Source organism: Homo sapiens, chromosome 3 (assembly GCF_000001405.40).
Source record: "Homo sapiens chromosome 3, GRCh38.p14 Primary Assembly".
NCBI classification, from domain to species: domain Eukaryota; kingdom Metazoa; phylum Chordata; class Mammalia; order Primates; family Hominidae; genus Homo; species Homo sapiens.
In genome coordinates, this window is record NC_000003.12 from 11,125,849 (window position 1) to 11,140,865 (window position 15,017).

General features: G+C 48.0%; 1 protein-coding gene across 1 annotated transcript in view, besides 3 other annotated features; it reads left to right on the forward strand.

The window, feature by feature from the left end:
- Positions 10,755-11,954: an enhancer, noted in NCBI's record as "P300/CBP strongly-dependent group 1 enhancer chr3:11178289-11179488 (GRCh37/hg19 assembly coordinates)". NCBI's record gives its function as "activates an origin of replication core promoter dependent on BRD2, BRD4, P300/CBP, MED14 and CDK7 cofactors, with strong dependence on P300/CBP, by STARR-seq in HCT116 cells {active_cell/tissue: HCT116}" and the evidence as "EXISTENCE:reporter gene assay evidence [ECO:0000049][PMID:35650434]".
- Positions 11,390-15,017, forward strand: part of HRH1 (histamine receptor H1) — a 126,320-nt gene continuing 122,692 nt past the window's right edge. Inside the window, exon 1 of the mRNA NM_001098213.2 lies at positions 11,390-11,551. The gene's annotated coding sequence lies outside the window, so the exon portion shown is untranslated. The remainder of the gene's footprint in view (positions 11,552-15,017) is intronic.
- Positions 14,661-14,730: an enhancer, noted in NCBI's record as "active region_19425". NCBI's record gives its function as "activates an Ori minimal core promoter by ATAC-STARR-seq in GM12878 lymphoblastoid cells {active_cell/tissue: GM12878}" and the evidence as "EXISTENCE:reporter gene assay evidence [ECO:0000049][PMID:35858748]".
- Positions 14,751-14,800: an enhancer, noted in NCBI's record as "active region_19426". NCBI's record gives its function as "activates an Ori minimal core promoter by ATAC-STARR-seq in GM12878 lymphoblastoid cells {active_cell/tissue: GM12878}" and the evidence as "EXISTENCE:reporter gene assay evidence [ECO:0000049][PMID:35858748]".

Below are 15,017 nucleotides of genomic sequence, written 5' to 3' on the forward strand. Positions count from 1 at the left end.
AGCTTCTACCTCCAGGGGCCGCACAGTATCAAAAGAAACCCTCAGAAAACTCACTAAGGCTTCCTAATACCAATTTATCAAGGTTGTCCCTTTTTATGGGACGCAAGAGGGATTACCAGTCATTAAAAACAACTTTGTGAGAACGTACTGTGTGCCAAACACTGTTGTAAGCCCTTGAGAGACAGAAGTGACAACAGGGAAAAAGCAGAGCTTATATTCCAGTGGAGGGCAGGGCCACCCTGTTGTCCAACTCCAGGAGTTGCCATTGCTGCATTACGTTGAAGTCAATGTGAATGGTGACCTCTATGGCTGTACAGTGCACAGCCTGTGCAGCAGGACATGACTGTCCCAGTTGGGAGAGGCAAGTAACAAACAACATAGATAAGCATAAGATACCATGTTAGGTGGTGATAAATGTTGAAGAACACAAAGCAGGGACTCCAGAGAGGATATGGGCATGGGTAAGGGCGCTATTTTAGATAGGGTGACCAGGGACAGCTCGCTGTGAAGATCACCGCATCAGTCAGGGCGCAACAGAAAGTGGGTCGTTGGAGGAGAGTTAGCAAAGGGCCTATTTACAGCGATGTGGGCAGGATGGAGGGAAACTATAGGGAGAGTGGGGCTATTATCCCCTTGTGGCAGAAAGGGGAGGACACGTGACAGACCACAAAGAGAGAGGGCGGTATGGAGAGCCCACTTGACAGTTGCCTGGAGAGCAAGCCTGGGAATAAATGTCCTGGCTTAACCCCTCTCTTCCCTCAGTCAATCTTTACACAGTGCCCCCATGGGCCAAATCCAATGGAAGCCAGAGGGCCAAGAAGCATGTTGATTTCATCCTAGTCAACACCTGGGGACACAGCAGAGTGGACACCGGTATTGAGTGGATCCGGATGAATGGACCAAACACACTCCTACAGGACACTGAGCAAAGCCCCAAAGGAGGCAGGGAGCAGGCCAGTGACGCCTGCAGGAGAGAACTCCAGGCAGAGGGGCAGCATGGGTGGGTCAGTGGATGCCTGCAAGAGCGCACCCCGGGCAGAGGGGACACCCTGGGCGGGTCAGTGGACACCTGCAGGAGAGCGCCCCGGGTGGAGGGGACACCCTGGGCGGGTCAGTGATGCCTGCAGGAGAGCACCCCTGGCAGAGGGGATGGGCTTCGCCCTGAGGTGGAAGTGTGCCTGCTGCATCTACACAATAGCAATAGCGTACAGGCCTCTGTGGCCGTGGTAGAGTGAGAGGGGGTGGAGGAAATCAGAAGAGAGCAGGGTGCTGGGCGGGGCAGATTGTCTCGGCTTTTGAATGAGATGAAAAGCCCTGGAAGGATGCTGAGATGGGGAGGGGCATGGTCTAACAGGTTTTAGGGGCTCCCTCTGGCTGCGGTGCAGAGAACAGAGGGTACCAGGGCAGATGTGGAGGCAGGGAAGTCAGGCAGGAGGCTGTTGCAGAGGTCCAGGAGTGAGATGGTGGGGAGGTGCTGGAACAGGAGTGAGAGGAGTGAGGTGGTCACACATGGTTGGATAGTGATTCTACTTGAAAGTAGAGCAACGGGATTGGGCTGTAGGGTGTTGCTATGGTTTGAATGTTTGTCCCCCACAAAACTCACGGTGAAATTTCATCCCCATTGTGGCAGTATTGACAGGTGGGGCCTTTAAGAGGTGACTGGATCATGAGGGCTCTGACCTCATGAATGGATTAATTCATTCATGCATTAGTGAATTAATAGGTTAATGAATTAACGAGTTATCATGGGAGTGGGACTAGTGGCTTTATAAGAAAAAGAAGATAGACCAGAGCGGGCATGCTCAGCCCCCTCACCATGTGATGCCTTGAGCTGCCTCTGGACTCTGCAGAGAGTCCCCACCAGCAAGAAGGCCCTCACCAGATGCAACCCCGCAACCTTGGACTTCTCAGCCTCCATAACTGTGAGAAATAAATTCCTATTCTTTATAAATTACCCCATTTCAGCTATTCTTCTATAAGCAACAGAAAACAGACTAAGACAGGTGTGAAAGAAAAAGAAGTTGTGACTCCTGGCTGGCATCCTTAAGCAACTTATCCACAGCCTGTATATGCCCCTTTTCAGACATGGCTTGCTTGTCATTGGTGGAGAAGGAGAACCTATAATGTCTGCAAATTCCCTGTAAAGTCTCTGGAGATGACTGCTGGCTGCAGGTAGGGAAGGAGCATAATATTAGTGTTATGGTTCTGCTTAAAAGACGATGTCCTTGTCTTTTAGAGTTACATTCTGAAATACTTGCAGCTGAAATGATGAAAAGATATACTGCAAAACTATCTTTGCAATATATACTGCAAAATAGTTTGAGGGTAGGTGAGGCTATAGAGGAAACAAAATTGGACATGGAGAGTTTTGAAGTTGGGTGATGGTACATGGTTGCTTATTATACTATACTCTTTACTTTTGTGTAGTTTAAATTTTTCCAAATAAAAGTTTGGGCCAGGCGAGGTGGCTGGCCAGGCGCAGTGGCTCATGCCTGTAATCCTAGCACTTTGAGAGGCCAAGGCAGGTGGATCACCTGAGGTCAGGAGTTCGAGACCAGCCTGGCCAACATGGTGAAACCTCATCTCTACTAAAAATACAAAAATTAGCCAGGCGTGGTAATGGGCACCTGTAATCCCACCTGCTCTGGAGGCTGAGGCATGAGAATTGCTTGAACCCAGGAGGCAGAGGTTGCAGTGAGCTGAGATCGTGCCACTGCACTCCAGCCTGGGTGACAGAGCAAAACTCCGTCTCAAAAAAAAAAAAAAAAAAAGGTGGTTTTTTTAACCCTTTTTAGAGACCCATGTGATGGAATTGTTCTGTATTTTGACTGTGGTGGTGGTCACATGAATCTACATATGTGATGAAATTACAAACATTAATTATACACATGCATACACACACAAATGAGTGCATGTGAAACTGGCGAAATCTGAATAAGGTCAGTGGATTCCATCAATGCCAATATCCTTGGTGTGATATTGTACTATAGTGACATCAGATGTTAGCACTGGGGAAAAATGGTGGGAAAGGATATGGAACCTCTCTGTAGTCATTCTGACAAGTAGCTACATGTAAATCTATCATTATCTTAAAATTTTGTTTAAAAATTCCCAAAAGAATAGGGGAGAAAATAAAAAGTACTGGCAAGGTTGTGGAGAAATTGGAACTTTTGTAAATTGTCGGTGGGAATGTAAATGGTGCAGTGGCTGTGGAAAACAGGATGACATATCCTCAGAAACTTAAACATAGTATTACCATATGATCTGGCAATCCCATTTTGGGTTTATACACAAAAGAGTTGAAAGCAGGGACTCAAACAAATACTTGTACACCCATGTTCATAGCAGCATTACTCACAATAGCCAAAAGGCAGAAACCACCAAGGCTCTATCGAAGGATAAACTGATAAGCAAAATGTGGTCTCTCCATACAATGCAATATTACTCAGCCTTAAAAAGGAAGGAAATTCTGACCCATGCTACAACATGAATGAACCTTGAAGACATCGTGCTAAGTGAAATAACCCAGTCACAAAAAGACAAGTGCTATGATTCCATTTATAGGAGGTACCCAGTGTAGTCAGATTCATAGAGACAGAAAGCAGAATGGGGGGTGCCTGGGGTTGGAGGAGGAGAGGTGTGGGAGTGTAATGGGTGCAGAGTTTCGATTGAAGATGAACACGTTCTGGAGATGGATTGTGGTGATGCTTGCATAACGGTGTGAATGTACTTAATGCCACAGAACTTTACACCTAAGAATGGTTAAGATGGGCCGGGTATGGTGGCTCACCCCTGTAATGCCAGCACTTTGGGAGGCCAAGGCGGGCAGATCATCTGAGGTCAGGAGTTTGAGTCCAACCTGGCCAACATGGTGAAACTCCATCTCTACTAAAAATACAAAAATTAGCCAGGCATGGTGGTGATGGGCGCCTGTAATCCCAGCTACTCGGTAGGCTGAGGCATGAGAATCTATTGAACCTGGGAGGCAGAGGTTGCAGTGGGCCAAGGTTGCACCACTGCACTCCGGCCTGGGCAACAGAGCGAGACACTATCTCAAAGAAAAAAAAAGAATGGGTAAGACGGTAAATTTTATGTCACGTATATTTACCATTAAAAAATGATTAGGGGAAAACAGGTCCATCAGTTTCTCAAAAAAAGTAAAAGTGGGTTATAATTGGATGCCACCAGGGCCCCTTGTTTTCTGCCCTGAATGACATAATAAAAGGCAGAGGGAAAGCCTTTGACAGACTCTCTGGGTGCCCTGCATTTCCATTTCAGTGCCATATAAAGAATCCCAGACAGCGCTCTCTCAGACAAGGGCAACATCCCTGATGTGGGAGTCCCTACAACAGTGAGGAATCAATTGTCAGTCAGCCCACACCGTGGTGACAGCCCTCCAAGACAGGTCCCTCCGCTTTGAGAACACGTAGAGGGAGCCTGGGCAACCAGCTAACTGCTACACAGCCTCCAGATCCTAGCTCCAGTGGCCCTTTCTCAAGAACACCTGTGATTTTCAGAACCAGGTCATGTTTCTATATCTCAGGATCCCTATATATCCCAATTCTCCAGGAAAGTCTCAGTTTATGCCAGTGTCCAGGCATAATTATTAATGGCACCCACTTCCACTCTCAAAGCGTCCAGGCTTAGTAAGTAAATTATGTCGTCACCCCAGCTATTACCGACTTACAGAGCTGCTCATAATTGACTAAGTAAGAAGACGTAATGTCCGTCTCCCTGGGTCCTAGAGGGCAGGGACATGCCTGTCTTCTTCACTGTCATATGTGCAACGCCTAGCACAGAGCTTTGTGTACAGCACTACATGTACTATAGCATACAAGAGTTCTCCCCATAAATCCCCTGCACATCTGCTGTCTCAGTGTCTGTGTCTTAAAGGATCTGAACTGGCGCCCCAGCCATTGCAATAGCACTGTGAGCTGGGAACCCGAGTCTGTTTCTACCGTGCCATCCAAGGCGCCCTGCTTCCCACGGTAAGGAGGTGAGACCTTGCCCAGCCCCCTCCTCCAGTGCTCACAGCCAGCAGTGGAGAAATGCAGTCTCTGGCTAGTGCCCTTGTACCTTCACAGATTTTTCTTTTCCATTTCTCCACCTTGACCAGTTAACTCAAGAAAATATCATTCTCTCTCTCTCTCTCTCTCTCTCTCCCTCTCTCTCCCCCACCATCCCTCTGGGTCTCAACCTTTGAGAGTTTCTCGCCAACTCTTACGTCCTCCCCCTCACCCACATTTAACTCTCCCATCCAAAATCAGCCTTATAAACATGAGTTTCATCCATGGCATAAGCTAAATCGAGAAGAGATATAACAAGAATTACACGACATGTGAAGCTCTTGAATGTATCCAGACATTGTCATCTGCATCTTCACAAATGTCTGGCCTCCACTAATTAAATTTGCCTTTCTCCAGCTGCAATATTCAAGATCAATGAAATAGAAAAGGGCATTGATTAAACTGCTGTAGTTCTAGTGGTGCATAAGCCTGGCTGCACTTTAGAATCCCCAGGAAACTTCTAAAAAACAGCAATGCCCAGGCCCCACCCCAAGAGATTTAGATTTAATTGCTCAGAGGTGGGGCCTAGACATCAACTTCCCTGGGGTATGAGAGTGTGCGGCCAAGAACAACGGTTGCAAGAAGCTTTCTACATGCTTTAGCTAATTCTGTCAGGTGAGTGCTAGGATCTCATTTTGCAACATGAGAGAACTGGTGCCTAGCGACCTGGAAGGAAATAGAACTCAGATGTCCCAAGTCTGTGCCCAGTGCTAGCCAGAGGCAGCCTGGGAGCTAGGAAGAAAGCACCAAGGAAAGCATTTCCCCTCTCCCTCCCCAGTCCCCTCCACCCAGCGAATTATCCAGCTGTTGCTTAGGGCGCTATTCTTCACCTTAAGATGCCAGTCCCTGGGTTGGGTTGGGTTTTCTTATGCGAACATCCTGGAACAGCTATTTATCCAATTATACTGAGGGGAGAGAGAGACCCTCTCATATGGTTTTATATTGTTTTATACTCAGTACCTGTTTTAAGAAAAAACAACAAGGAAGTAAAACCAAAGACAGGCAGTCCGGCACCAGGCCCAAAACCAGGCCTAGGCCTGCCTGGCCTAAACCCAGTAGTTAAAAATCAACTCATAACTTAGAAACTGATGTTATTCATAGATTCCAGACATTGTAGAGAAGAACATTGTGAAACTCCCTGCCCTGTTCTTTTTCTCTCTGACCACCGGTGCATGCAGCCCCTGTCACATACCACCTGCTTATCAAATCAATCACGACTCTTTCATGTGAAATCTTTAGTGTTGTGAGCCCTTAAAAGGGACAGAAATTGTGCATTCGGGGAGCTCGGATTTTAAGGCAGTAGCTTGCCGATGCTCCCAGCTGAATAAAGCCCTTCCTTCTACAACTCGGTGTCTGAGAGGTTTTGTCTGCGGCTCGTCCTGCTATAATACTTTGTAAGATAGTGCTTAGTTGTCATGTCTGTCTTCCTCGTCCCAGAGATCTGGGTCTTACTGTCACGGATTTGACTGTAGAACCCAGCACAATGCTTGGCTCACAGTAGATGCTCCAAGAAGGTTTGTTAAAGATTGTTTGGGCACATGTGAAATGGGACAGAGCGTTAGATGGGCAGTCAGACAGGCAGGAACACATGGTTGGGTGGATGATAAACAGATGAATAGATGAATAGATATAAAGGAAGGCATGGCAATCAATTGGAAGAGTGGATGGGTGGATGAAAGAATGAATTTGTCTATGCCCTGGTTTGTGTCACAAAGGATTTGAGGTGCTTATAGTACAATTTAAAAATAAAATTTTAGCACTCTGTCTGTACCTGGCTCTGTTCTAGGCCCTTGGAATACATCAGTGAGCAAAAGATAAAGATTATTCCCCTTGCAAAGCTTATATTTTAGCTGCATGAGGTAGACAATGAACAATAACCATAATAAATAAGTAGATCATGAAATATGTTAGAAGGTTAAGGGCTAAGAAACAAGAGAAAAGTGCAAGGAAGTGAGAGTGGGAAAGGCAAGGAGGTGGAGGTGGGATGCAAGTCTAAATGGGGAGGTCAGGGAAGGCCTCGTTGAGAAGCTGAGCAAAGAATTGAAGGAGGTGAGGGAGGTGCCTGCAGAGAGCAGGGCTTGAACTGCCCAGGTGGAGGAAAGGCTCGGAGTAGACACGTGCTGCTGTGTCTGAGGGGCCATAGCAAAGGAGCCAGAGTGGCTGGAGGAGCAGAGAGTGAAGCGGGGAGTAGGAGGGGGCCAGAGGTCAGGGGGTGGCCAGGTCCCATAAGGCCTTGTAGGTGATGGTGAGGACTCTATGCCAAGTGATATGGGAGCCATAGAAGGGTGTTGAGCAGAGGAGGGCTATGATCTGGGGTATATTTTTAAAGGATCCCTCTGGCCACTCTGTTGCAAATCAGTAAATCATAGGAGGTCAGGGCAGAATTAGAAAGAGGCACACAAAATTTGTCCAGCTGAGAAGGGATGGTGGCTCTGACCAGGAGAGAAGGTGGTCAGAGTCTGGATATATTCTGAAGGTAGATCCAATCTTCATGGTGGCTTGGGTATGGGGTGTGAGAGAAAGAAGACAGTCAAGTTTAATGCCAGGGTTTTTGTTCTGTGCAACTGCAAGAAAGGAATTGTCATCAACTGAAACGAGAAAATCTGGGGTCAGGTCAAGGGGTAGAGAGGAATTGGGAGTTTAGTTTTGGACAGAAGGGGTTTAGGTGGGCATTGGCTACCCATTGGAGATGTCAAAAAACAGTCAGAAGCCAGGCGCAGTGGCTCACGCCTATAATCCCAGCACTTTGGGAGGCCAAGGTGGGCAGATCACTTGAGGTCAGGAGTTTGAGACCAGCCTGGCCAACATGGTGAAACCCCATCTATACTAAAACTACAGAAATTAGCTGGGCATGGTGGTGGGCACCTGTAATCCCACTTACTCGAGAGGCTGAGGCAGAAGAATCATAGTGAGCCACGATTGTGCCATTGCACTCCAGCCTGGGCGACAGAATGAGACTCCGTCTCAAAAAAACAATAAAAATAAAAACAATTGTATTATTAGTCAGAATTCAAGTGAGAGGACGAGGCTAGAGACGTAAATGTGAGAGCCACATGTAAATGATATTGCAAGCAATGAGACTGGGTGAAATTACCAAGAGAGTGAGCACAGATGGATAAGAGAAGAGGATGGAGAACTGAGCCTCGGGTCATCCCAACATTAAGAGGTTGGGGAGAGGAGAGAAAAGACAGACGGTGAGACCAGTGAGGTAGTAGGAAAACCAAGAGAGCATGAGGCCTGAAATCAAACAAAGCAAGGGCAGTCAACTGTGCCAAGCCCAGTAGGACAAGGACTGAGACTTGACCATGGATCTTGCCATGTGGAGGCCATTGGTGACCTGGATGAAGGGCACCAGTAGAGCAGTGGGAGCGAATGCCTGATTGGAATGTGTTTAAGAAAAATGGGAGGGAGGAACTGGAGAAACTGAGGACGGACAGCTCTTTGGAAGAGTTTTGCTGCAAAAGGGAGAGTGGTGGTTTGTGGCTTGGTGGCCCACAAAGAATCTCATCTCTTGGTATTCAAGTCCTTGTGCAGTTTCCTCCCCTTGAATCTGGGCTCTCCCTGTGATTTGCTTTAACCAATAGAATCTGGCAGAAGCAACACTGTGTCAGTTCTGACCTAAAACTTAACAAGGGTTTTTGTTGGTGGTATTGTTGTTGTTATTTCAAAGATGGGAGAAATAGTAGCATTGTGTACGCTTGATGAGAATGATCCAGAGGAGGTAAAAAATGATGCTGTGGCAAGAGGGACAATCGCTGGAGAGATGTCCTTGAGCAAATGAAAGGGGCAGGGTCTAGGGCACAAGTACAGATACATAAGTGCACCATCAATTCATCTCTAGTGAAGCGTGTGGGTGGAGATGCTGGTGGGCGGGGAGGTGTGTGGTGGGGTCTCAGGACATTCTGATTGCTTCCATTATCTCAGTGAATAGGAAGCAGACAGGACAGGAGAGGAGGCATTAAGGGTTTAGGGGAGGAGAGGAGTCAAACGGTCCCTAGCAGAGCTGGAGAGAGAATGACTAGGGAGGCAGAGTATAATTGCTAGGCAGCATTGAGAGTGCTCTCAACATTCAAGGTCATGACTCAAGTGAACACAGTCAAAATGGTTGTGAAACACCATGTGAAAAACATGGCTTTTCTCTAGGCATGTTCTGCTGCATGGGGGTAAGGCAGGGTTGGCAGAAAGTGGGATACATTATGACCAGAGTGGTGGCTTAGCCAAGCAAGTTGGAAAACATCGATAATAAATGAGGAAATAAAGAACCTGGGAACATGTAATTCAGATTAAAAGCTCAAGACCAGGGGCAAAATTAGAAAGCAGAGGGAGGGAGAAAGAAGGAGAGGGGGAGAGAGTAGAAGAAAAAAAAGAAGGAAATGTGGTCATGTTTTACATTGGTTTTTGTTTTGTTTTGTTTTGTTTTTGAGAGAGACAGAGATAGAGTTTCGCTCTTGTTGCCCAGGCTGGAGTGCAATGGTGCGATCTTTGCTCACCGCAGCCTCCGCCTCCTGGGTTCAAACAATCCTCCTGCCTCTGCCTTTGCCTCCTGAGTGGCTGGGATTACAGGCACCTGCCACCACGCCAGCTAATTTTTTGTATTTTTAGTAGAGGCGGGGTTTCACCATGTTGGCCAGGCTGGTCTAGAACTTCTGACCTCAGGTGAACGAGGCCTCCCAAAGTGCTGGGATTACAGGCCTCGTGAGCCACCATGCTCAGCCCTACATTGGTATGATTAGATAACTGTGCCTCAGTGTGCATGAGTTCCAGATCTTGTACAGAGAAAATGTTTTCATAGGAAGGGTAAGGAGGGGCCTGAAGCAGACATGGAGGTGACAACTGAAGCACCTCCCCCTGTCTCCACCCCACCCACAACAAAACCAGCTTTTTTTTTTTTTTTTTTTTTTTTTTTTTGAGACAGCGTCTGCTCTGTCACCAGGCTGGAGTGCAGTGGCATGATCTCGGCTCACTGCAACCTCCACCTCCTGGGTTCAAGCGATTCTCCTGCCTCAGCCTCCTGAGTAGCTGGGATTACAGGTGCCCACCACCACACCCGGCTAATTTTTTGTATTTTTAGTAGAGACGGGGTTTTGCCATGTTGGCCAGGCTGGTTGCAAACTCCTGACCTCAAGTGATCTGCCTGCCTTGGCCTCCCAAAGTGCTGGGATTATAGACGTGAGCCACTGTGCCCGGCCCTAAACCCAGCTCATTTTAAACATTGGTTTCAATTCCATTCACCCTATGATGGAGCATCCTGCCCCTCCCCGACAACTCCCATACACCACTGAGCCTCCCCTACCCCAGGTGCCTGCAAGCCCCTCAGAGACCAAGGCTGTGTGCCAGGGCTTTTCTCTCCCAGAACATCCTTGATAGCCACATTTAGAAAACAGTCGCCAGAATGGCCTCTGTATTGCCAGCAGTTTGGCAGTGGGAAAGCCAGCTTTTGGCTTCCAGACAGGAAAAGCAAGGCGTGCTGACCACACACAGCCTGCACCTCAGTGACCCTCTGGCCAGAGGCTGCCTTAGGATTCTGGGAGGAGAGCTAGACCTGGTTCCCTGCAGCAACACCTTGGGAGGTTAAAAAATACAGATGACTGGGTCTCTACCCCAACCCAGCAGTAGGATCCAGGGATCCTTATTTCTAACAAACTCCCCCGATGATTCCAACACACGTCAAGGCTGGAAGCAACCGATTCGTTTCTTTGGGCCTCAGTTTCCCCATCCAACTTAAAACTCACACAGGAGTCTAGATAATCTTCTTTGAGCCTCACGGCCATCTAAAAAAATGTCATTGTTCCCATTTTTGAGATGGGAAGAATGGAGGTTTATAGAGGCAAAGGGATGAAGGGGTGGGCCACATGGTCATTAGTCTTTTTCGGCGCTGGGGTTTGAAGATCCTAAGACGACCTAAGGAAGGCAGCTGAATCCGCCTTCCAAACCCCTGGGGTAGACTCAGGCTCTCACACACCCAGGAGAGTCATTTCTAGGCACATCTTCTCGGGTGACTCATGAGCACCAAGGCAGGCCTGTGTGTCCAAGCGCCTGCACAGGCAGAAGCGAGGCTCTTTCCCATAACCGGAACCCTTACCGTGCCCCTAGCAAACTCCCAGCTCCTGCCTGACAAGTTACTGCCTAACCCGTGACTTATTTCGGGAATCCCTGACGCATTTCTTTACCGTCCCTCATTTCAAAGCACACCATGCCGGCAGCACTTGGAGGTGGTATGTGCTGGGAAACTGACCAACAGTTTAGTCAGACTGAGTCACTTCAAGGAGGGGAGTGGAGACAGCAGTGGGTGCCAGATGACACGGAGCTGTCGGCTTCCGTGTGCATTTTCTTTTGATAGTAGCCGTAGAGAAGTTGTCCGCCAGGCAGCCCTCAATGGGATTTTTCATTTAAGAAAAATCACTCTGCTCGTGCACTGATGGAGAAATGAACTACAAGAAGCAAGCCCTGAGGTCTGGAGACAGGAAGCTACTGAAACCAGCCAGGTGAGAGGCAATTACCGCCTAGACTCCGCTGGGGCGTGGGGAAGAGAATGGAGGGGTGACGGGCTCTGGGGGCTGATTAGATGCTGGAATGATGGGGGACGAGTCACCAGGGACTGAGGTGGCTGATTGGATGCTGGAGTGATAGGGAGGAGTTACTGTGGGCTGTGGTGACTGATTGGATGGTGGCACAAGGTGGGAGGAGTCATCATGGGCTGTGATGGCTGATTGGATGGTGGAGTGATGGGGGAGGAGTCCAGTCAGCCCCCAGTGTTCTGGCTTGAGCGTCTGAGTTATTGATTGAGTCCTTCTTGAGGATGGGGAACAGCGACCGGAACGGACCCTGTTATCTTCAGATTCACATCCTCCACGCCTGGCACATAGCAGGCCATCTGTAAAGGTACTGAGGTACTAAGTTGTCCTCTTGAGTGAGGCCACTGATACACTTTCTTTTGTTATGGCGGGAGAGTATCTGGTGCTCTGGCTGAGGAACTAAGGTCCCTACCAGCCCAAAAGGAGCCCCAGTGTAAATTAGAAAAAGGCAGTACCCAGAGAATGGGAGAAAATATTTGCAACTCATATAGTACACCTGATACAGGTGTACTATCCAGAATACACAAGGAACTCTTTTTTTTTTGAGACGGAGTCTCCCTCTGTTGTCCAGGCTGGAGTGGAGTGTCGTGATCTCTGCTCACTGCAAGCTCCGTCTCCCAGGTTCACACCATTCTCCTGCCTCAGTCTCCCAAGTAGCTGGGACTACAGGCGCCCGCACCACGTTTGGCTATTTTTTTTTTTTTTTGTATTTTTAGTAGAGACGGGGTTTCACCGTGTTAGCCAGGATGGTCTCGATCTCCTGACCTTGTGATCTGCCCGCCTCGGCCTCCCAAAGTGCTAGGATTACAGGCGTGAGCCACCGCGCCCAGCCTAAACAAGGAACTCTTACAACTCAACACACACACACAAAAAACAACCCAGCCAAAAAATGGGTAAAGGACTTGAACAGACATTTCTCCAAAGATATACAGATGGCCAGCCACAATGAGGTACCACTTCACACTCACTAGGAGGGCTATAAGAAAATGGACAATAACAAATGTTGGCAAGGATGTGAAGACATTGGAGCCCTCAAACATTTCTAGATGGAATGTACCACGGTGCAGTTACTTTGGAAAACAGTTTGGCAAGTTCCTCAAAAAGTTAATCGTGGGATTACCATATGATCCAACAAGACCATCCCCTGGTATATACCCAGAAAAATGGAAAACATCTGTTCACACAAAAACTTGTACAAGAATGTTCATAGCTGAATTTTTTTTTTTTTTTTTTTGAGTGCAGTGGCATGATCACAGCTCACTGCAGCCTCCATCTCCCAGGCTCAAGCAATCCTCCCACCTCGGCCTCCCAAGTAGCTGGGACTACAAGTGTACACCACCATGTCCGCCCAAATTTTTCATTTTTTATAGAGACAGGGTTTTGCCATGTTGCCCAAGCTGGTGTCAAACTCCTGGGCTCAAACAATCCTCCCACCTCAGCCTCCCAAAGTGCTGGGATTACAGATGTGAGCCACTGTGCCTGGCCATAGCTGCATTGTTCTTTTTTTTTTTTTTTTAGAAAGAATTTTGCTCTTGTTGCCCAGGCTAGAGTGCAATGGTGCGATCTCGGCTCACTGCAGCCTCTGCCTCCCAGGTTCAAGTGATTCTCCTGCCTCAGCCTCCCAAGTAGCTGGGATTACAGGCATGCGCCACCATGCCCGGCTAATTTTGTATTTTTAGTAGAGATGAGGTTTCACCATGTTGGCCAGGCTGGTTTCGAACCCCTGACTTCAGGTGATCCACCTGCCTCAGCTTCCCAGAATACTGGGATTACAGGAACGAGCCGCCCGCCTTTTTTTTTTTTATTTTGAGGTGGAATCTTGCTCTGTTACCCAGGCTGGAGTGCAGTGGTGCAATCTCGGCTCACTGCGACCTCCGCCTCCCGGGTTCAAGCAATTCTCCTGCCTCAGCTTCCCGAGTAGCTGGGATTACAGGCGCCTGCCACCACGCCCAGCTAATTTTTATATATTTGGTAGAGACAAGGTTTCACCGTGTTGGCAAAGCTGATCTAGAACTCCTGACCTCAGGTGATCCGCCCACCTCAGCCTCCCAAAGTGCTGGGATTTCAGGCGTGAGCCACCGTGACCCGCCTGTTCTTAACAGCCAGTGGATATAACCCATATGTCCATCAACTCATGAAGGGATACACAAATTGTGGAATATTCACACAATGCGATATTATCGAGCCATAAAAAGGAATGAAGTACAGACACATACCACAACATGGGTAAAACTTGAAAAGTTTTAATGCCAAATGAAAGAAGACAGTCACAGAAGACAGCAAATTATAGAACTCCATTCATATGAAAGTTCAGATTCATGGTCGCCAAGAGATGGGGAAAGGGGGGGAATTAGGAGTTATGGAGTTGTTTTTTGGGATGATGGAAATGTTCCGAAAACTGCTAGTGGTGATGGTTGCACAACATTGTGACTATACTAAAAGCACTGAACTTTATACTTTAAAGTGGTTTAAATGGTAGATTCTATGTTATGTGAATTTTAGCTCATAAAAAAAATTTTTTTTTAAAGAAAAGAAATAGGAAGCATTCCTTCTGGGCAGGTGCAGCCTTGCAGGCACATGGCTTAGTAAACAAAGGGCCGTCCGGATTTCAGTCCCTTTTGGCCTAGTGCCCATGTACAGTGAACGACCCGCGCAGCTGTTCTTAGCTGCCCTGCGATGGGACATAAAAGCTTCTGCCCACATTTGGACCTCTATCCACCCCATCTGACAGAGAGAAGTAGTGAAGATTGAATGCATTTGCTAAGGCTGGATGAAACCCCGCCCCTCCCCCAAGGAGAACTAAATCACAGGAATGATTTTCACCCAAGAAGCAAAATAAGCGCCTTCCTCCCTCCTTAGGCGTGGCAGTTGACTTTGGCCCCAATACCAAGACCTCTCATTCTGCACACACCCTCCAGCTGCAATTCCACCTAACACACCAAGGCTCTTCCACACACCCAGGCTTTCTCATTCTTTCCACTCCAGCTATGTTCACCTCTTTGCCCTCGTACACCCTGGGAGCCCCTAGGGACTCACTCTGTTTCCTCTCAAACCCTCCCAGGCACCATCCTCTCCCCGAAGCCACTTCCCCATTCTCAGAACCCTGCTCGCGGGTGACCTCTTCCTGAAACCTCCCTCAGAGGAGCCCTGCCTACCTCCTGTCATACCCTTAGCACTTGTAAAACACCCAGTTACTGGGTTTTACCTGAACTCTGCCACTTCTAGGCTGCTTGGCTCTGCAAGAATCACACAACTTCCCTGACCTCAGTGTCCCCATCTGTAAAGTGTACAGGGCCACGCTTACCTGCCAGGTGTGATTCCATGGAATTAGGGATGTATAAGGCTTTGTAAGTGCAAAGTGCCAAGCCCTTAAGAT